This window comes from Homo sapiens, chromosome 7 (genome assembly GCF_000001405.40).
Source record: "Homo sapiens chromosome 7, GRCh38.p14 Primary Assembly".
In the NCBI taxonomy this organism is placed as follows: domain Eukaryota; kingdom Metazoa; phylum Chordata; class Mammalia; order Primates; family Hominidae; genus Homo; species Homo sapiens.
The window spans coordinates 42,864,277-42,886,878 of NC_000007.14; the positions used below are offsets into that span (position 1 = coordinate 42,864,277).

Below are 22,602 nucleotides of genomic sequence, written 5' to 3' on the forward strand. Positions count from 1 at the left end.
CAGGTCATTTATGTTGTTCTCTAAACTGGTTATTCTGGGTACCAATTCCTCTAAACTTTTATCAAGGTTTTTAGCTTCCTGGCATTGGGTTAGAACATGCTCCTTTAGCTCAGAGGAGTTTGTTATTACCCAGCTTCTGAAGCCTACTTCTGTCAATTCGTCAAACTCATTATCTGTCCAGTTTTGTTCCCTTGCTGGCAAGGAGTTGTGATCCTTTGGAGGAGAAGAGACATTCTGGTTTTTCGAATTTTCAGCCTTTTTATGCTGGTTTTTCCTCATCTTCATGGATTTATCTACCTTTGGTCTTTGGTGTTGGTGACCTTCGGATGGAGTTTTTGCGTGGTCTTCCTTTTTGTTGATGTTGATGCTATTGCTTTTTGTTTGTTAGTTTTCATTCTAACAGTCAGGCCCCTCTTCTGCCAGTCTGCTGGAGTTTGCTGGGGATTCACTCCAGACCCTATTTGCCTGGGTATCACCAGTGAAGGCTGCAGAACAGCAAAAATTGCTGCCTGCTCCTTCCTCTGGAAGCTTCGTCCCAGAGGGGCACCTGCCACATGCCAGCTGGAGCTCTGCTGTATGAGGTGTCTGTTGACCCCTGCTGGGAGGTGTCTCCCCATCAGGAGGCATGAGGGTCAGGGACCCACTTGAGCAGGCAGTCTGTCCCTAGCAGAGCTCGAGCACTGTGCTGGGAGATCTGCTGTTCTCTTCAGAGCTGGCAGGCAGGAACATTTAAGTCTGCTGATGTTGCACCCACAGCCACCCCTTCCCCCAGGTGCTCTCTCCCAGGGAGACGGGAGTTTTATCTATAAGCCCCTGACTAGGGCTGCTACCTTTCTTTAAGAGATGCCCTGCCCAGAGAGGAGGAATCTAGACAGGCAGTCTGGCTACAGTGGCTTTGCTAGCTGCAGTGGGCTACACCCAGTCTGAACTTCCTGGTGGCTTTGTTTACACTGTGAGGGGAAAACTGCCTACTCAAGCCTCAGTCATGGTGGATGCCCTCCCCACACCAAGCTGGAGTGTCCCAGGTAGACTTCAGACTGCTGTGCTGGCAGCAAGAATTTTAAGCCAGTGGATCTTAGCTTGCTGGGCTCTGTGGGGGTGGGATCTGCTGAGCAAGACCACTTGGCTCCCTGGCTTCAGCCCCCTTTCCAGGGGAGTGAATGGTTCTGTCTCACTAACGTTCCAGGTGCCACCAGGGTATGAAAAAAAACTCCTGCAGCTAGCTCAGTGTTTGCCCAAACAGCCACCCCATTTTGTGCTTGAAACCCAGGGCCCCTGTGGTGTAGGCACCCAAGGGAATCTCCTGGTCTGTGGGTTGTGAAGAACATGGGAAAAGCATAGTATCTGAGCCAGATAGCACTGTCCCTCATGGCAAGGTCCCTCATGGCTTCCCTTGGCTAGGTAGGGAGTTGCCTGACCCCTTGTGCTTCCCAAGTGAGGTGACACCCCCCGCTTCTTCAGCTTGCCTTCCGTGCACTGCACCCACTGTCTAACTAGTCCCAATGAGATGAGCCAAGTACCTCAGTTGGAAATGCAGAAATCACCCACCTTCTGCGTTGGTCTAGCTGGGAGCTGCAGACCAGAGCTGTTGCTATTCGGCCATCTTGCCTGGGCATCTCTGAATCAGTTTTTAAAGAAAAAAAAACTGAGTGCAGCGGCTCATGCTTATAATCCCAGCAGGAGATCCCAGCAGGAGGCCAAGGCAGGAGAATTGCTTGAGCCCAGGAGTTCAAGACCAGCCTGAGCAACACAATGAGACCCCTTCTCTACAAAAAATTAAAAATTTAGCCAGGTGTGGTAGTGGCACACATCTGTATTCCCAGCTACTCAGGAGGCTGAGGCAGAGGGTCACTTGAGCTGGGAGTTCAAGGCTGCACTGAGCTATGATCGTGCCACTGCACTCCAGCCTAGGCAACAGAGCAAGACCCCATCTCAAAAAAAAAAGAAAGAAAAAATATATAGTTTAAAATGAGTTCCAGCTATCTTTAAATTATGCCCCACTTATCACTGGTCTGAATAAAGAAGGAGAAAGAGAACTTCCCTGTGCCAGAATGCAGTCAGGTCTATTTCACAGCCAGCTCCTGCTGACTTTAAGAAAGCTCAGCTTGTGCCATCAGAGTGGAATTCCTTGGCCCAGGGCCTCCAGCAGAAGCCCCCTGAGAGGTCACCCTGATCCTCCAGCCCATCCCATCTCCTGACCTTCTCTGTCATTGCTATCTTGCCAGTCACCCCTCCAGCCCCCACTTCACCCAAGATCTTCCCCGTGGGAATGAACTGAAACATCGAGATTTTTCTGTGGTGATCGAACTGGAGGACTCTAACTTTCACTTACAAGATCTATTCATGTTTGCAACAACATATCATGATGGGTGGAGAATACTAATACCAAAGGACTGAGTCTCTTTAAATTTGACCAACTGACTTAGCAGGCAGCTGGTGCCTTGGTTCCTTTCTATCCCTCATGCTTAAGATAACTTGACAAGACACTGAGGGATATTTTGAACCTTTCAGGCCTAAAAGCTGTGATTTGGATGGAATTAATAAAATGGCAAGGTAATTGCAATCCTTTTCTCTCTTTATTGGCTTGTATTTTGCTATGTTGATTCTGAAGTGGATAACTTGTTGTTCTATACTTTTTAACTTAAGAAAATGTGTTCAGTATGATTTTGTGTCTTCCTTAATGAAAAGTGTTTATTTTCCATTGCTGGTTTGCCGCAGACCCATTTCTGGCTAAGCATAGAACTCTTCAGTCATCTAAACCACTGTCTGAACATATTTGAGCATGGAAAAGTAAAAGTTTTAGGAATTTATCTGTGTTGGGTTGACTATTATGTATTTCTGTTGATCTCCAGACATAGAAAGGATCATTTTCCTTCCTAGGACACATTCAAATACAAATGCTGGTTTTATGGAAAGATAGTGTCTGGATTTAATGTATCAGATGCCTTAAGATATGTGAATCTGGTAAATTCCAGGCCTGATTATCTGATCATTTGTGTATTAACATTTGGAGGCCAACAGCAATTCTCATAGAAGGGAATGGGAGAGCTTACATAAACTGAATCACTGTGATCTAGGCATGATTTTTATGTGGAAATAAATTTTTCCTAAGATAACTTGAGTCTTTATCCCCTTTTTATTATTAATTGCCTTGATTTAAAAATGGGGCAAACTCAACAGAAAGATGAAAGCAATCTTATATAGAGCCGCATTTCATTTGCCGTAGGTCTTGTTTTCCAGAGCTATCTCCAACTTTGCCACCTGAGAAACACAAGTCCAAGTCCAATACTTACAGAAGAAATAACTATTCCACCTAGTCAAGGAACTAGCCAACACTTAATGGAGGATTGCCCTTGGTTATAGAGCTAACTGCAAATGAAGTAACTAGAGGAAGACCATTTACCTTCTCCATTGAAGAGACCATTCAAGAGCCAACTCAGCAATCAGGGTCTAGCAGTGTTACTGACTGGATGACTGGCACTTAGAGTCCAGCACCCTGCTGAGAAACCAGCAACCCATGTGAGGATTCCATGGCCAGTAAGCATGCTCTGCTTCTTGACTTTATGTAGAGGCTGTTGGTTAACTTTCCAGTGCAAATTTTGTTCATTTGGATTTCCCTATTTTGTCTGTTTTTCCTTTTCATTCATGCACATTTTACAGTCCACCACTCTGCTTGGCTCCTTATATAGTTTGGATATTTGTCCCTGCCCAAATCCCATGTTGAACTGTAATTCCCAATGATGGAGGTGGGTCCTAGTGGGAGGTGATTGGGTTGTGGGGGCGGATCCCTCATGGCTTGATGCTGTCTTTGCAAGAGTGAGTGAGTTCTTGCCAGATCTGGTCGTTTAAAAGTGTGTGGCACCGGGGCCAAACATGGTGGCTCACACCTGTAATCCCAGCACTTTGGGAGGCTGAGGCAGGTGGATCACCTGAGGTCAGGAGTTCAAGACCAGCCTGGCCAACATGGTGAAACCCCGTCTCAACTAAAAACAAATACAAAAAAATTAGCCAGGCATGGTGGCAGGCAGCTGTAATCCCAGCTACTCCAGAGGCTGAGGCAGGAGAATTGCTTGAACCCAGGAGGCAGAGGTTGCAGTGAGGCAAGATTGCACCAGTGCACTCCAGCCTGGGCAACCGAGTGAGACTCTGTCTCAAATAAAAAAAAAAAAGGATCCATCACCCCCCATTCCCCTCTGTCTTGCTCCTGCTTTCACCATGTAACGTGCCTGCTCCCCCTTCCCTTTCTGCCATGATTGTAAGCTTCCAGAGTCCTCCCCAGAAGGCAAGCAGATGCCAGCACCATGCTTCCTCTAAAGCCTGCAGAATCATGAGCCAATTAAGCCTCCTTTTTTAATAAATTACCCAGTCTCAGATGTTTATAGCAGTGCAAGAATGGCCTAATACAGCTTCCATCCTGTCACTTTTGATAAATGTGGAACAATAAACAACTCTTCTCCTGCAGCCAAAATGTATTCTAACTCATTTCTCAGAAATGAATAGGCTCTATTAGCATTTCCCATTTTATTTCCTTCCTGCAAAGTTTTCTTTAGAGTTGTAATCATGCCCTACTGTCACATCTTTTCTTTTGAACCAATGTTCTGTATTCCAGAAATCATGTAGGAAGAGAATAATGTGTTCCCTTAGATCAGTACACATTGTAAAATAGAAAGAGAAAGAGGTGCAGCAGAGAATGCACAAGGCACCCCTTTAAATAAGCAGAAATGAATTTACTTTCTGGTCCCAACTCAAACATCCCCTATTTGTTTTTATTTCATAGACTGAGATCACAAGACTCTTGAACAGAAGAAATGCCAAGAGAGCTAGAATCTTACAGATGGTGGTATTAATAATGGAGCAAACTAGAACCAATGACAAAGACATGAAGTCTGAAAATAGCACAGAGAATATAAATATTGTGAGATGAATGTTCCCCCTTCAATTCTCCTTATTTGCCAAATATTTTCATTTCCTTTTGTCATTATAGAAAATAAAACCATGCATCACAGTCAAAAGTGCTCCACTAGCAACATTGTATGATTCACTCTTTTTGTCATACATGTCTTTAGTAATTGATGGATATTAAAATCACACAGACTATTTAATAAGGGCTTATTTTACTTGCATCGCCACTTTGATTCAAAAAAAGATTTAAGGTAGTTAATAAGGTTAGAAGGAAAGAGAGTTAACAAAGACAAGAACTTTAACTAGAGTCAAAACTAAAGTCAATATTTAAGAAATAAACACCACATAGTCTCCCACGCTTTCTCTGGGTGACATTTACAGCGGGTGACCAAGGAGAGGCTGAGTCATCTTTTCCACCACTGTCTACCCTGAGGGTTCATGCACAATTAGGCAGAGTTCAAACTCAGAATTCGTTGAACAAATGACAAGCAGCATATGCACAGATGAGCAGTCTTGAACTGGGGACCAAGGTTGATTGGAACATCTGAGTTGTCTTTGAACTGTTTACCATCAGCACTGAAACTTCCCCCACATCCAATCTACCTGCCCACAAAAGTCCCATCTTCCCCAACTCCATCTGCCCTCCCCCACTTCTTAATACACAGACATACAGGTAAGGTAGCCTGGCCAATGTGTTCTTCATAGAAACTGAAAATAGCCCCCGTGACAAATTGTTAGGTCTCCTGTTCTGGGGAGGTGCTTGGTCACGGGGTGCCACCGTCAAGCCTCACTAGGTTCTCTAATTGTCATGCCTGAATTATTGCCAGAATTATTACCAGGAAAGAGGTGCAATTTTTCTTAGGATTCAAGCAAAAAAGCAGAAAAAATTTGGAATTCTCAAAATGAAAAGTAGTTGAGATGCAAAATTATAGACAAGGAAGAAGCATGTGTGTGTGGGACATATATAGTACATATAATGCAAATGTACACATTATTCAAAAAATAAGTAATTAGCATGAAAATTAAAATAATTACATTTAAAAGGTACTGGGAGTAATGGCCGGGCGCGGTGGCTCACGCCTGTAATCCCAGCACTTTGGGAGGCCGAGGCGAGTGGATCATGAGTTCAGCAGAATCAGACCATCCTGGCTAACACGGTGAAAGCCCGTGTCTACTAAAAATACAAAAAAAAAAAAATTAGCCAGGCGTAGTGGCGGGCGCCTGTAGTCCCATCTACTCGGGAGGCTGAGGCAGGAGAATGGCGTGAACCTGGGAGGCGGAGCTTGCAGTGAGCCGAGATCACAACACTGCACTCCAGCCTGAGCGACAGAGAGAGACTCCGTCTCAAAAAAAAAAAAAAAAAAAAAGGTACTGGGAGTAAAATAACAAGGCTACTTTCATGCCCGTCCTTGTGAAGAGACAACCAAACAGGCTTTGTGTGAGCAATAAAGCTTTTAATCACCTGGGTGCAGGTGGGCTGAGTCCGAAAAGAGAGTCAGTGAAGGGAGATAAGGGTGGGGCCATTTTATAGGATTTGGGGAAGGTAAAGGAAAATTACAATCAAAGAGGGTTTGTTCTCTGGCGGGCAGGAGTGGGGGTCGCAAGGTGCTCAGTGGGCAGGAGTGGGGGTCTCAAGGTGCTCAGTGGGGGTGCTTTTTGAGCCAGGATGAGCCAGGAAAAGGACTTTCACAAGGTAATGTCATCAGTTAAGGCAAGGACCAGCCATTTACACTTCTTTTGTGGTGGAATGTCATCAGTTAAGGTGGGGCAGGGCATATTCATTTCTTTTGTGATTCTTTAGTTACTTCAGGCCATCTGGGCGTATAAGTGCAGGTCACAGGGGATGCAATGGCTTGGCTTGGGCTCAGAGGCCTGACATTCCTGCCTTCTTAATAAGAAAAATAAAATAGTGTTGAAGTGTTGGGGCGGCGAAAATTTTTGGGGGGTGGTATGGAGAGAGAATGGACGATGTTTCTCAGGGCTGCTTCAAGCGGGATTAGGGGCGGCGTGGAAACCTAGAGTGGGAGAGATTAAGCTGAAGGGAGGTCTTGTGGTAAGGGGTGATATTGTGGGGATGTTAGAAGAAACATTTGTCGTATAGAATGATTGGTGATGGCCTAGATACGGTTTTGGATGAATTGAGAAACTAAATGGAATAACAGAAGGAGAAAAACAGGTATAAAAGGTCTAAGAATTGGGACGACTCAGGATATCTGATTAGAGAGTGCCTAAGGAGATTCAGCATAGTCCTGCCAGCAAAGATTATTTATTTACTTCAAGAGTTAAGAGTGGCAGTTTGGGGATAGCACCAGGAGATATCAGCTGTGATGGCTTGGAAAAACAGTGTAAACCGGCAGTGTAAACAACAGCAGGGCATGTATGAGTAGTTGAGAACGGTGAATAGGAGTATGACTAGACAGAAGATAGTAGGGATGACAAGTTTTTTGGGGCACAGTCTAAGTTGGTCTGGTGTCTGGAATGAGACTGGGGCCTAATAAAAAGGAGCGTCTATACAGGAGCTCAAATGGGCTGTACCCTGTAGCATTCCGAAGACAGGCCTGAATTCTGAGAAGGGAAAGTGGTAAAAGTATTGTCCAGTCCTTTTTAAGTTGGTGGCTGAGCTTGATGAGGTGTGTTTTTAAAAGACCTTTAGTCCATTCTACTTTTCTTGAAGACGGAGGACCATAAGGGATATAAAGGTTTCACTGAATACTAAGAGCCTGAAAAACTGCTTGGCTGATTTGACTAATAAAGGCTCATCTGTTATCAGACTATATTGAGGTGGGAAGGCTAAACTGAGGAATTATGTCTGACAGAACAGAAGAAATGACTGCAGTGGCCTTCTCAGACCCTGTAGGAAAGGCCTCTACCTATCCAGTGGAAGTATCTACCTAGACTAAGAGGTATTTTAGTTATCTGACTCAGGGCATGTTGAGTGAAGCTAATTTGCCAGTCCTGGGTGGGGCAAATCCTCGAGCTTGATGTGTAGGGAAGGGAGGGGGGCCTGAATAATCCCTGAGGAGTAGTAGAATAGCAGGTGGAACACTGAGAAGTTATTTCCTTGAGGATAGATTTCCACGATGGAAAGGAAATGAGAGGTTCTAAGAGGCGGGCTAGTGGCTTGTACTATAGCATAACCTGCCTTTGCTGGTGTGTGGCGATTAGGCCTGGTGGAACCGCCATCAATAAATCAAGCGTGATCAGGGTGAGGAACAGGAAAGAAGGAAATGTGGGGAAATGGGGTGAATGTCAGGTGGATCAGAGAGATACAGTCATGGGGGTCAGGTGCGGTATCAGGAATAATGTGGGAGGCCGGATTGAGGTCTGGGCCAGGAACAACGGTAATTGTGGGAGACTCAACAAAGAGTGAGTATAGCTGAAGGAGCCAGGAAGCAGAAAGTATATGCGTCAGGTATGAGGAAGAAAATAGATTTTGGAAGTTATGAGAACTGTAGAGAGTGAGTTGAGAATAGTTTGTGATTTTGAGGGCCTCTAAAAGTATTAAAGCAGCGGCAGCTGCTGCACGCAGACATGAGGGCTAGGCTAAAACAGTAAGGTCAAGTTGTTTGGACAGAAAGGCTACAGGGTGTGGTCCTGGCTCTTGTGTAAGAATTCTGACCACACTAACCATGCCTAGGAAGGAAAGGAGTTGTTGTTTTGTAGAAGGTGCTTGGGTTTGAGAGATCAGTCGAACATGATTGGCAGGGAGAGCACGTGTGTTTTTATGAGAATTATGCCGAGATAGGTAACAGATGAGGAAGAAATTTGGGCTTGATTGAAGTAATGGGGGCTGTCTGTGAAGCTCTGCGGCAGTACAGCCCAGGTAATTTGCTGAGCTTGATGGGTGTCAGGGTCAGTCCAAGTGAAAGCGAAGAGAGGCTGGGATTAAGGGTGCAAAGGAATAGTAAAGAAACATGTTTGAGATCTAGAACAGAATAATGGGTTGTAGAGACAGATATTGAGGATAGGAGAGTATATGGGTTGGGCACCATGGGGTGGATAGGCAAAACAATTTGGTTGATAAGGCGCAGATCCTGAACTAACTTGTAAGGTTTGTCTGGTTTTAGGACAGGTAAAATGGGGGAATTGTAAGGAGAATTTATAGGTTTTAAAAGGCCATGCTGTAGCAGGCGAGTGATAACAGGCTTTAATCTTTTTAAAGTGTGCTGCGGGATGGGATACTGGCGTTGAGTGGGGTAAGGGTGATTAGGTTTTAATGAGATGGTAAGGGGTTCATGATCAGTCGCCAAGGAGGGAGTAGAGGTATCTTATACTTGTGGGTTAAGGTTGGGGGGATACAAGAGGAGGACGCAAAGGAGGCTTTGGATTGGGAAGAAGGGCGGCAATGAGATATAGCTGTAGTCCAGGAATAGTCAGGGAAGCAGATAATTTAGTTAAAGTGTCTCAGCCTAATAAGGGAACTGGGCAGGTGGGGATAACTAAAAAGGAGTGCTTAAAAGAGTATTGTCTACGTTGGCACCAGAGTTGGGGAGTTTTAAGAGGTTTAGAAGCCTGGCCGTCAATACCCACAACAGTTATGGAGGCAAGGGAAACAGGCCCTTGAAAAGAAGGTAATGTGGAGTGGGTAGCCTCTGTATTGATTAAGAAGGGGACTGACTTACCTTCCACTGTGAGAGTTACCCAAAGCTCGGCGTCCATGATGGTCTATGGGGCTTCCAAGGTGATCGGGCAGCGTCAGTCTTCAGCCGCTAAGCGGAGAAGGAGTCAGTCAGAGAGCCTTGGGCCAGAGTTCCAGGGGCTCTGGGAGTGGCTGCCAGGTGAGTTGAACAGTCCGATTTCCAGTGGGGTCCCGCACAGATGGGACATGGCTTAGGAGGAATCCTGGGCCGCAGGCATTCCTTGGCCTGGTGGTCAGATTTCTGGCACTTGTAACAAGTTCCTGGGGGAGGAGGTTCTGGAGGAATGCCTGGCCGCTGAGGTTCAGGCGTTTGGAAGTTCTTGTGTGCTAGAGATGCGGCTGGGGTTTGTCTCACAGTGGAGGCAAGGAATTGCAACTTTTTTCTATTACTGTACACCTTGAAGGCGAGGTTAATTAAATCCTGTTGTGGGGTTTGAGGGCCGGAACTTAATTTTTGGAGTTTTATTTAATGTCGGGAGCAGATTGGGTAATAAAATGTATATTGAGAATAAGATGGCCTTTTGACCTTTTAGGGTCTAGGGCTGTAAAGCGTCTCAGGGTTGCTGCCGAACGAGCCATGAACTGGGCTGGGTTTTTATATTTGATGAAAAAGAGCCTAAACGCTATCTGATTTGGGATAAAGAAAAAGGAGCAATAACCTTGACTATGCCTTTGGCTCCAGCCACCTTTTTAAGAGTAAATTGCTGGGCAGGTGGGGGAGGGCGAGTCACGGAACGAAACTGTAAGTCGGACCAGGTGTGAGGAGGGGAGGTGATAAAAAGATTATAGGGTGAAGGAGCGGAGGCTGAGGAAGAATTGGGACCTAGCTCGGCCTGGCGAGGAGCAGGCTGGGGAGGAAGGGAGAGGTCAGATGGGTCTGTAGAAAAGGAAGATTATAAAGACTCAGCGACGCTTGGGGTTGGTACTGAGGGGACAGGCGGGAGGGAAAGAAGGAAGATTTGGGACGAGTTGCACTGGGCACAGAGACTAGGACGGGACTGATGTGTAAAAGAATGCCTGGACATCAGGCACCTCAGACCGTTTGCCTATTTTATGACAATAATTATTTAGATCTTGCAGGATGGAAAAATTCAAAGTGCCATTTTCTGGCTATTTGGAACTACTGTCGAGTTTGTATTGGGGTCAAGCGGCATTGCAGAAGAAAATAAGGCATTTAGGTTTTAGGTCAGGTGTGAGTTGAAGAGGTTTTAAGTTTTTGAGAACACAGGCCAAGGGAGTAGAAGGAGGAATGGAGGGTGGAAGGTTGCCCATAGTGAAGGAAGGAAGCCTAGAGAAAAGAGAGTAGAGAAACGGAGGGAAGGGGTTCAGGGGTTCTTACCTGCCAGAAAAGTGGGAAAAGGGGTTGGGGCGCAGAGATAAGAGGTCAGGGCACGGAAATAAGGGATTGGGGCGCAGAGATATGAGGTTGGGGCACGGAAATAAGGGATTGGGTGCAGAGATAAGAGGTTGGGGTGTGGAAATAAGGGACTGGGGGTTCTTGCCCCATAGAAAAGCGGGACTTGCCGCTAAGGCTGAAGGAGAAGGGGTTGAGAGGTACTTGCCCCTGTCCCAGGAAAGTGGGACTTGCCGCTAAGGGTGAAGGAGAAGGGGTTGAGGGGTACTTGCCCCTGCCCCAGGAAAGCGGGACTTGCCACTAAGGGTGAAGGACCAAGGCAGGCGTCCCTGTGTGGTCTGACACCCTTGAAACATGAGTGTATAATCAGAGAGGCATCCCTGCAATGATTAAACACCAAGGGAAGGCTGCCTTCCCAGTCCGTGACCGGCGCCGGAGTTTTGGGTTCATGGATAAAACATGTCTCTTTTGTCTCTACCAGAAAATGAAAGGAATTGAAATTAAGAGAAGGGAGAGACTGAAGTGTGGCGCCAAGATTGAAAGGAGAAAGAGGTTGAGGGATAGTGAGGGAGGTTGGAGAAGAGAGTAAAAAGAGGCCGCTTACCGGATTTGAAATTGGTGAGATGTTTCTTGGGCTGGTCGGTCTGAGGACCTGAGGTCATAGGTGGATCTTTCTCACGGAGCAAAGAGCAGGAGGACAGGGGATTGATCTCCCAAGGGAGGTCCCCCAATCCGAGTCACGGTACCAAATTTCGTGCGCGTCCGTGTGAAGAGACCACCAAACAGACTTTGTGTGAGCAATAAAGCTTTTAATCACCTGGGTGCAGGCGGGCTGAGTCCGAAAAGAGGGTCAGTGAAGGGAGATAATGGTGGGGCCATTTTATAGGATTCTGGGAAGGTAAAGGAAAATTACAGTCAAAGAGGGTTTGTTCTCTGGCGGGCAGGAGTGGGGGTCGCAAGGTGCTCAGTGGGCAGGAGTGGGGGTCGCAAGGTGCTCAGTGGGGGTGCTTTTTGAGCCAGGATGAGCCAGGAAAAGGACTTTCACAAGGTAATGTCATCAGTTAAGGCAAGGACCAGCCATTTACACTTCTTTTGTGGTGGAATGTCATCAGTTAAGGTGGGGCAGGGCATATTCACTTCTTTTGTGATTCTTTAGTTACTTTAGGCCATCTGGGCGTATACATGCAGGTCACAGGGGATGCAATGGCTTGGCTTGGGCTCAGAGGCCTGACAGCTACTAAGTCTTTATTTTATGCCAAATTCTCCTCTAAATGCAGTACAGTATATCTTATTTCATTTTAATCCTCATAACAGGTCTAAAGCAAAGATACTATTATTATTTTACAGATAAGAAAACTAAAGCTTGGTGAAGTTAAGTCGCTTGCCCCGGATCACACAGATCGTGGCAAAACTAACAATCAAATTAGGGCCTGACTCCAGAGGCCAAGCTCTGACTTTTACATGTGCTGCCTCCCAGTGGGAAGAGCTGGTAATTACCAAGCCTGAACTCTGGTTCTATTACTCCTTCATTTCCCTAGAACTAATTTTTTTTTAAACAGTTTCATAGAGAACTTACTCACAATAGCCAAGACCCAGAAACAGTCCCAGTGTTGATAGATGAGTCAAGGGATAAACAAATCATGGTAAATACCTACATATTTAATTAGCCATCAAAGGGAATATGCTGCTAATACGTGCAACACCAATGAAGCTCAGAGACCCCATGCTTGGTGAAAATACCCAGACTGAAAAAGAGAACTCTGTCCTTACCTGTAACATCAGATAGGTTGAATAAAAATGATCTCCAAAGTCCTTTTTATTTCTAGCATTCTTAATTGCACCAAAGTTAGGAAAATATGTTCACATATCAAATTGATTTTTAAGTATCTTGACCTCATGACCAAAACGATAGCAATTCATTCAGCCTAGAATTTATAAATTACATGTTATGAATAATTAGTCACACTCATCCCAGTCCTGAAGAATATAATTATTGCGATACATATAAAGCTCCATGAGAACCAGAAACAAGATAACTTCATTCACCTCTGTCTTCCAGGCATCAAGAACGACATCTTTCACACTGGACATGTTCACAAATGACTGGTGAATACTAAGGGATTAACATAAGATCACTAAACCACCTCTATGCTCCTCTTTTTGAGAAAAAGAAAAGAAAAATGAGAAACAATGGATCTTCAGAGCTAAGTTGAAGTTAAGGATTATTTAGTTTATTCTCATTGTTTTATAAATGATTAAAGTAGACCCAGAGAGGACATTTTTACCATTGATACTGCTATGATTACTACTATTGTTGCTATTATCATTGTCTTCATGTTCTGAGGTAATTCTGAGAAATCTTTCTTTTTCATCCACCATGAAATACTGTAGAAGACTCAAGGGCTCTTTGCCTTTTTCTTGAACTGGAGATTTAGGAACCACAGCCCTCTGCCCACCAGTCCCCCTCCTGCACTCCCCACTCCTTAAGGATAGAATTATTGAGTTTTATATATATATATATATATATTATATATAATATATATCATATAACTTATAACTTATATATATATAACTCAATCAATAATTCTACCCTGAAAAGAGGAGGAGCTTCATTGAGCAACAAAGTGGGCAGGTTCCTGGTGAGGCCCCACCTTCAGGCCAGGGAGGGTCTGAAGGCTGAGGACCAGGCTGCCAGTCCTGCAGACCAGAGTGGGAACTTGTGGTGCCTTCTCCAGGCTTACCCATGGCCACCCATGGACCAATCGGCACACACTTCCTCCCCTCTGAGGCCCATAAAAGCCCTGAGATCAGCCAGAGCAGAGCAGACATCAGGACAACCAGCTGCAGAGAGAAGCAACCCACTCCAGGGCCGCCACACTGCTGAGAGCTAGGCAGACAATGGGATCACCTGCCTGCAGAGAGGAGCTTCCCACTTCAGGGTCTCCTCTCTGCTAAGAGCTAAACACTTGTCAGGACACTCTGGTTGTGGAAAGGAACTACCCTATTGCTCAATAAAGTTCCTCTTTATCTTGCTCACCCTCCACTTTTCTGTGTACCTCATTCTTCCTGGTCACAGGAGAAGAACTTGGGACCTGTCGAGTAGTGGGGCTGAAAGAGCTATAAGACAAACAGGGCTGAAACATGCCCCTAGATCACCACATTGCAGGCAAAGAGAAGGAGAGAAGAGCTGCAGCCCTTCAGGGAGCCCAGACCTGGGAACCGTCTGAGCCAGGTCTGTGACTTCCTCTTCAGAGCTCTGTGGTTCCTGGTGTCTCCAAGCTTCCAGGCATACCCATGTTCCCTGGTGCCAGCTGTAGAAGCTGCCTGTGGTGCACCTGGTCCAGCCGCAGCCTTGCAGAGGGCCAGCACCTGGAGCTGCCCTCCCCGCTGCAGCAGCCAGCATGTCTGACTGCACAGTGGCTGGACACCAGGCTCACTCACACAGCCCTTGCTGCTCCACACAGTCTCCCTTGGCAGTCATGGGATCCAGGCTGGTAGTGTGAGCTGAGCACCACCTGCCAGGCTGAGTGGACAGAGCAAGCCCCGCAGGATCGAGTAAACTCAAGCAAAGGCACCACTGGCCACAGGTTTCCAGTCAGAAAAGCAACACCCCAAAGATCCTATAACATAAAGACTACACCTTAGTATAAGGGCTGTGCTGTAGCACTAACAGCAAAGCTGAAAGTAATGCTACCCAGAAAACCAGACTTTGACAGGATCAAGTAATCCACAAGTAAATGAGTTGTCCACCAGAAAATAATTTAACAAATCTTTAGAGGAAGAACCTCCCAAACTTATAATCTACAATGTCTGCAAAAAAAATTATGAGGCACATAAAAAAGGAAAATGTTATAGATAATTAAGAGAACAAATAACCAATAGAAATAGTGATCTAGAAGATCCATATTTGGGAGTTAGCTGACTAGGACTTAGTTGAATAACATTTTTTTAAATATGAAAGATATATTAGTCAGGGAGTAACAGAGCAAATAGGGTGTGTGTGTGTGTGTGTGTGTGTGTGTGTGTGTGCAGAGAAAAAAAGGGATTTATTATAAAGAATACTCATGCAACACTGGAGGCTGAGAAGTTCAGACCCAGAAGAGCTGATGGTATCAGTTCCAGTCTTGAGTCTGAGTCAAAGGCAGGAGAAGACCAGTGTCCCAGACTGAAGACAAGCAGAGAAAGAACTCTTTCTTACTTAGCCTTTTATTCTATTCAGGCCTTTGACAAATTGGGTGAGGCCCACTCAAAATAGAGACAGCAATCTTCTTTCCTCAGTCTACCCCTTCAAATGTGAATCTCACCCAGAAACACCCTCACAGATATACCCAGAAATAGTGTTTAACCAACTATCTGGGCATCATGTGGCCCAGTCAAGTTAACACATAGCTAATCATCACACATGGAAATTGGGAAACTTTCAACACACCTGTGTATCTATATATCCATATATAAATTGCACATAAGACATTTACCATAGACCACAAGACAGAGGCATATCCTAGGCTCATATAACAAGTTGACAAATCTCAAATTATTTAGATCATATATTGCATGTTCTGTCGCCACTATGGAATTGAGTGCTCAGTAAGAGAAAGATAAATAGAAGCTAGAAAAGCAACACATTTCAAATTACCCATGAGTTAAAGAAGAAATCACAATGAAAAAATAGAAACTATTTTGAGCTGAAAGATAAAGAAAAGACAATAAACCAAACTTGTTGTATACACCAAAAGGTGCTTTGGGGAATATTAATAGCTTCAAATGCATATATTAGGTGAAAGGAAAAGATTGAAAATCACTAAGTTAAGCCTCCATCTCAATAAACGAGGAAAAGAACAGTTAATTAAACCCAAGGATAAGAGAAGTAAATAATAAATATAATAGCAGAAATCAATAAGGTATAACATAAGAAGTCAATGTAGTCAAAGTTGCTTCTTAGATAAATTTACTAAAATTAATAAGTCCCTAGGTAGACTAATCAAGGGAAGAAAAATGAGAAAATTCAATTTATCAGTATCAGGCATAGACAAGGAGAAATCACATAGACCTTAGAAATATTAAAAAGATAATAAAAAGACATTATGAAAAACTTCATGCCCATAAATTTAAAAAATTTTGTGTCAAAACATTAGATTACATGGAGAAAAAAAATCCTCAAAATTCCAATATACCATCACTGGCACAGGATGAAATGAAAGATGTGAATGATATTGAATTTGTAATAATAATAGTTGTTTTTAATTTACAAAAAAAAAAAAAACTTCCCACAAAGAAAACTGTGAGATGGCTTTATTAGTGAATTCTCCTTCACATTTATGAAAAAACTAAAACCAATCTTATCCAAACTCTTAAAGACAGAGAGAATAAAAAGAAATACATTTCAACACATTTTATGAGATCATCGGAATTTTTATTTCTAAACCTATGAGTGCATTATTTTAAAAAAGGAAACCACAAGCTAATATATTTCATGAACACATGAGAAAACTTAAGTAAATAAAATGCAAGCACATATTTAAAAAAGTAATACATCTCGAACAAGGGTAGTTTATTCCAGGAATAAAAGGCTAGTTTAACATTTAAAAGTGAATGTGATTAATCACATTAACAAAACAAATGAGAAAAGCTAGTAAGATTCAAATAAACCTAGAAACAGACTATTAGTAAAAGAATTTATCAAGGGCACTATACAAAAGTTGGTGGTATTTCTATATAAAGGCAACAAACAAGTAGAAAATATAAATTACCATTTGCCATAACATCAAAACATAAATCACTTATAAATAAATCTAATGAGAAATGTGTAAGACTTTTATACAAAAAACTGCAAAACATTAATAAGAAAATGTTTGAAATACTTAAGTAAACAGGATGTGTCTGTTCCTTGACTGGAAAACTCAATGTTGTTAAGATGTCAGTTCTCCCAGAATTGGTCTATAGATTCAATGCAATTCAATGTAATCCCACTAAAACTCCCTTGGTTTTCTGTTGTTGTGTTGGGGGTTGGGCGGGGTGGGGGGGTAGAAACTAACAAGCCGATTCTTCTCTTTTTCCCCCATTGGCTAGGCTCCCTCAAAGCAGACAAGCTGTTTCTAAAATTCATACGGAAATGCAGAGAGCCTAGAATGTCCAAGGACGTAAGGAAGTAGAACAAAGCTCATATATTTTAAACCATGAGATATAAAGCCTATTAGAAAACTACAGAAATTAAGACAGTGCAGTACTGGTACTAGAATATGGAGCAGACCAATCCAATAGGAAGAGGAGTCCAGAAACAGACCCACAAGTCTCCCACACCCTAATGGGGAGAGAGGGAACTCCACTGCAATTCAGTGGGAAAAGGTACATGGAAAACAAAAACAAGAAACCTTGGCCCCCTACTTTAGGAAAGCTGAGAAAATCAAGTTTCTATAAGAAATATAGGACAATATCTTCATGAGCTTAGAAGAGGCAACTATTTCTCAAACATGACACCAAAACTGAAACTGCCTTTGCAAAACTATGACAATAAAAGAAATCCAATATGGCTGAGTTCATCTTGCTTCTAGCCTCACAGGCTGGCTGTCTTCATTCATTCACGGGTATAGACCAAGCTTACTATGGGAGAAATTTAGTTTACAGTTTAAATAATAACAGCCCTTCCCAAAAACTAAACTTTCTTTGTAAAACTAATGAAAGGCCACCAAGTTAGGAGGATGAAAGGGGTCTGAATTCTGCTAGATGTAGGCATAGTTAAATACTTACTAGTCATTATTCTGGAGGTCCCAAGATTTGCAACTTCCCCAATTACTCCTGCAGATAGCATCACTCTTGTAGAACCTAAGATTGACCTTTTGAGATGTCTTTTAAGGCTTTTGCATTTCTGACAACCAGATGATTCCACTTGGACCTGGACATTGGACCTGGACTCCTCTAGTAGCCCCCACTCAGAAACAGCCTCAGCACACAAGGATCATTTTCCACACCCCTATGATTGCATCCTCAACTAATCAGGATGTCCCCTTCTGGATACCCTTGCCCAACAAATTCTCCTTGGAAAACCCTAGTCTACAAATTTCTGGAGAGATTAATTTGAGTAATAACTGTCTCCCATGTGGCATGGCCAGCCAAGGGTTAATTAAACCCTTTCTTTACTGCAATGTCATGGTCTCAGTGGATTGACGTTGTTTGTGCAGCAGGCAGGAAGAACCTATCAGGTTATTACAGAACTACTATTAAGAAAGTAAAACAGGCCAAGCATGGTGGCTCATACCTGTAATCCCAGCACTTTGGGAGGCTGAGGCAGGAAGATCATTTGAGCCTAGGAGTTTGAGACCAGCCTGGGCAACACAGGGAGACTAAAAATTCAGCTAAAAATTAGCTGAGTGTGGTGGCCTGCCTGTAGTCCTAGTGTCATGGGACTTTTGAGGTATTGCTTTGCCATCCAGAAATCTCTGTAGCCAGTGGCACCTTTGCCTGAGTTTTGCTTGGACTTGCTGGGCTCATTCTGCCCACTCGGCCTGGCAGGCTGTACTCAGCTATAACTACCAGCCTGGATCCCATGCCTGCCAAAAGCAAGCCAGGCACAGAGCAGCAAAGGGTGTGTGAGCGAGCACTCAGTCCAGCCACTGTGCACAGACAGGCATACCAGCTGCAGTGGGGTGGGCAGCTCCAGGCACTGGCACAGGTGCCAGCTCCCTGTTAGGCTGTGGCTGGACCAGGTGTACCACAAGCAGCTTCCGTGGCTGGCACTGGGAAACATGGTGGCACCTGGAAGCTTGGAGATGCCAGGAACCACAGAGCCTGAAAGAGGGTGTCACAGCCCTGGCTTGGGGATCTCCTAGGTCTGTGCTCCCCAAAGGGCTGCAGCTCTTCTATCATTTTGTCTTCTCTCCTTGTCGCCTGCAAAGTGGCGAGTCAGGGGCATTTCAGCCCTGTTTGTGTTACAGCTTTTTTAGCCCCACCATTCAGCAGGACTTGAGTTCTTATCCTGTATCCAGGAAGAATGAGGTACACAGACAAGTGGAAGGTGAGCAAGGCAAAGAGGAGCTTTATTGAGTGATAAAACAGCTCAGAGGAGACCTGCAATGGGTAGCTCTTCTCTGCAGGCAGGGTGTCCCAGTGAGTGTTCAGCTCTCAGCAGAGATGAGACCATGGAGTAGGTAGCTCCTCTCCACAGCTGATTGTTGTGTTGTCTTCCCAGCTCTCAGCAGAGAGGAGACCCTGGAGTGGGCAGCTCCTCTCCACAGCTGGCAGGTCATTGTCCCCTCGAGTCTGGCTGAGTCTGGGGCCATTTTAGGCCTTAGAGGGGAGGAAATGCATCCAATTTGTCCATGGGTGGCCATGGGTGGGCCCAGAAAAAGCACCACAAGTTCCCACTTCGGTCCATGGGACCGGCAGCCTGGCCCCAGGCTTCAGACACTCTGCAGTTTGAAGGTGGGGTTTCACCGAGGTCTTGCCCATTTCCACCCAGGAGCCTGTCTGCCTCCTGCTGCCATTCATAGCGCCTAGGCTGTTCATGCTGAGGGGCACCTGCAGGCCAGCGCTGAGTTGCCCTCACACCCCCTCAGTCTCCCTCCCATGCTCATCAGCACCCAAAGTCCACAGGGGGCCAAGGTACCAGACGGCTGGCATGTGTCAGTGCTGCCCCAAGTGTGCACACACCTTGCCATGTGTGACAGCACCCGGTCTTGGCCCCAACCTCACTCCGAGATCGGAGCAGGTGCCAGGAGTGGGGAGAAGCCAGGCAGTGGGAGCAGATGCCTCTGAGTCTGTGGGGGCAGGGAGGCCTTCCTGGGCCCCCCAGAGCACAGGGAGGCCCAGGTCTGTAACTGTGGCTGAATGGCTGCAGCTGTGTCCAGGATGGCAGGGCTCCTGCCTGCTCCCAACCCCCAAGAGCACAGGGAGGCCCGGGTCCGCAGCCACGGCTGGGCGGCTGCAGCTGTACCCAGGAGGGTGCGTTCTTGGCTTCCGCTGGCTCTGTGGAGCATGCAGCCCAGCCACACCTCCCCCACTGCAGCTAGATTCTTGGCAGTGGCTGCTTCAGGCAGGCCACTGCTGCCATCACCAGCTACTCAGGAGGCTCAGGTGGAAGGACTGCTTAAGCCAGGAAGACTATGAGGCTGCATTGAGTCATGATTGCACCACTGCACTCCAGCCTAGGGGATGAAGTGAGACCCTGTCTTAAAAAAATTAAAATTTAAATTAAAAAAAGTAAAAGAATTGGACATCATTAACAGAACACTTGCTCATGAAAAGATACAAGACAGTGAAAAAGAAAACTACAGAATGGAGAGAAGATACTTGCAATATATGTATATATATATAAAATATATACTACATATACAATATATACTATATATATATATCTCTTACAAACGACTTATATCTAGCATATATACAGAATTTCTACAAATTAATAAGGAGACACAGACAACCCAGTTAAATGATAAGTAAAACATTTGAACTTCACTAAAAAGGATATTAAAATCCAAAATAAACAGGAAAGATACTCAATATCATTAGTCAGCAGAGAATTACAAATTAAAAATTACAATGAGATAACACTTCAAATTCAAAATAGTGTCAATATGTACAATGCTTTAGAAAAATGTTTCAGAGTATTTTATAAAACTAAACATGCATCTACCCCATGATCAACAATTCCACCTCTAGGAATGAGTGCATATGTTCCACAAAAGACATGTAAAATAACAGAGATGTAAAATGATACTCATAAAAACTTTATTCATAATAGCCAAAGATTGACTACAACTCAAATTTCTATCAATACTTGAATTAGAGTTTGTAGTCATACAATAGAGTACTACAGAAAAATGAAAGATTATGAACTACTACTGCATGCAATGATATTAATGAATCTTCCAGATAAAATATTGAGGAAAATAATCAGAAACAAAAGAATACATAATGTATTCTCCATTTATGGGAAGCTCAAAATAGATAAGACTTATCTAGGGTACTAGAGGTCAGAATACTGGTTATATCTGGGAGGGGGTCTTATTAGGAATAATTAAATAAGCAATTGAAGATATTAAATAATACCACAAATACAAAAATCACAACTCAGAAAACAGATGATCAAACAGTGAAATAAGAACTGACAAGCCGAGCATGGTGGTTCATGCCTGTAATCCCAGCACTTTGGGAAGCCAAGGTGGGAGGATCACTTGAGGTCAGGAGTTTGAGACTAGCCTGGCCAACATAGATAAACCCCGTCTCTACCAAAAATACAAAAATTAGCCAGGTGTGGTGACGCACACCTCTAATCTCAGCTACTCGTGAGGCTGAGGCAGGAGAATCATTTGAACACGGGAGGTTGAGGTTGCAGTGAGCTGAAATGGAGCCATTGCACTCGTCTCAAAAAAACAAAAAAGGCGGGCACAGTGGCTCACGCCTGTAATCCTAGCACTTTGAGAGGCTGAGGCGGGTGGATCACCTGAGGTCAGGAGTCGAGACCAGCCTGGCCAACATGGTGAAACCCCATCTCTATTAAAAATACAAAAAATTAGCCAGGTGTGGTGGCAGGTGCCTGTAATCCCAGCTACTTGGGAGGCTGAGGCAGGAGAATCACTTGAACCCAGGAGGTGGAGGTTGCAGTGAGCCAAGATCGTGCCATTGCACTCTAGCCCAGGTGACAGTGCGAGACTCTGTCTTAAAAAAATAATAAAAATAAAAATAAAAACTGACATAATTAAGAACTTGAGAAAAAGACAAATCTTAGAAACAAAAACTGCATTACTAGGTAGCCAAGGGAGAACAGGAAGACAAAAAATACAGTAAGAGACATAACAGATAGAAATAATAAAAACCAAGAAAATGGAAGCAGAAAGAACAGGATACAAGCACAATCGAACACAAGTATCATTAGAGAACCTGAAGAAGAAAAACCAAATAATAGACTAGGACTAATTGTAAAACTATAATCAAGAAAACTTTCCTGAGGAAAAAAAAAAGTTCTGAATCTACATATGGTAAAGAGACAGCACATGTATGAAAAATAGACCGCAAAAGATATCTTAACAAATTATTGTAATTTATAGAACACTAAAGCCCAGACTTCACCACTACACAATATATCCATGTAACACAACTGCACATGTACTCTCTAAATCTATAAAAATAAAAATAAATGATCAGTAATGATGGCCCAATGGATACCTTCCAGAAGAAATGGAATCAGTCTTCCCCCTTGTGGATAACTAGCAAAAGTACCTTATTTTCCCCACTAAAAGTTACATGTTAGAGTTTTGAGGGAACCACAGGCTATGTGTTTTTTCCTTCTCATCTAAAGGTAATAGGAAGTCATTTTATATAAAATTTGTGAGCCAGACACGGTGGCTCATGCCTGTAATCCCAGCACTTTGGGAGTCCAAGGCAGGCAGATCACTTGAGCCCAGGAATTAGAGACCAGCCTGGGCAACATGGTGAAACCCCTTCTCTACTACAAATACAAAAAATTAGCTGGGTGTGGTGGCACATGCCTGTAGTCCTAGCTACTCAGGAGGCTGAGGTGGGGGTTTCACTTGAGTCTGGGAGTTATAGGCTGCAGTGAGCCCTCCTGGAACCAGCACCAATGAACTACAGCCTGGGCCACGGAGTGAGACCCTGTCTCAAAAAAATATATATATAATAATAAGAAATTAAATTAAATTTGTGATAAAGTACACATATCTCTGTAATAGCTAGCTGGCTTTATGACTGG

General features: G+C 44.1%; 1 long non-coding RNA gene across 1 annotated transcript, besides 5 other annotated features; it reads left to right on the plus strand.

Moving 5' to 3' along the window:
* The first annotated feature begins 2,052 nt into the window (after nt 1-2,052).
* LOC107986735 (uncharacterized) lies at nt 2,053-5,023 on the plus strand. Its single transcript, XR_001745013.2, has 3 exons — nt 2,053-2,553; nt 3,241-3,537; nt 4,778-5,023. It is a non-coding gene; the product is annotated as an uncharacterized LOC107986735 (long non-coding RNA).
* Nucleotides 6,296-6,876: an enhancer, noted in NCBI's record as "OCT4-NANOG-H3K27ac hESC enhancer chr7:42910171-42910751 (GRCh37/hg19 assembly coordinates)". NCBI's record gives its function as "activates a minimal SCP1, AML or CMV promoter by ChIP-STARR-seq in naive H9 embryonic stem cells {active_cell/tissue: H9 hESC(naive)}" and the evidence as "EXISTENCE:reporter gene assay evidence [ECO:0000049][PMID:30033119]".
* Nucleotides 11,558-12,489: an enhancer, noted in NCBI's record as "OCT4-NANOG-H3K27ac hESC enhancer chr7:42915433-42916364 (GRCh37/hg19 assembly coordinates)". NCBI's record gives its function as "activates a minimal SCP1, AML or CMV promoter by ChIP-STARR-seq in naive H9 embryonic stem cells {active_cell/tissue: H9 hESC(naive)}" and the evidence as "EXISTENCE:reporter gene assay evidence [ECO:0000049][PMID:30033119]".
* Nucleotides 12,247-12,336: an enhancer, noted in NCBI's record as "active region_25902". NCBI's record gives its function as "activates an Ori minimal core promoter by ATAC-STARR-seq in GM12878 lymphoblastoid cells {active_cell/tissue: GM12878}" and the evidence as "EXISTENCE:reporter gene assay evidence [ECO:0000049][PMID:35858748]".
* Nucleotides 13,719-14,240: an enhancer, noted in NCBI's record as "H3K27ac-H3K4me1 hESC enhancer chr7:42917594-42918115 (GRCh37/hg19 assembly coordinates)". NCBI's record gives its function as "activates a minimal SCP1, AML or CMV promoter by ChIP-STARR-seq in primed H9 embryonic stem cells {active_cell/tissue: H9 hESC(primed)}" and the evidence as "EXISTENCE:reporter gene assay evidence [ECO:0000049][PMID:30033119]".
* Nucleotides 19,496-20,298: an enhancer, noted in NCBI's record as "H3K27ac-H3K4me1 hESC enhancer chr7:42923371-42924173 (GRCh37/hg19 assembly coordinates)". NCBI's record gives its function as "activates a minimal SCP1, AML or CMV promoter by ChIP-STARR-seq in naive H9 embryonic stem cells {active_cell/tissue: H9 hESC(naive)}" and the evidence as "EXISTENCE:reporter gene assay evidence [ECO:0000049][PMID:30033119]".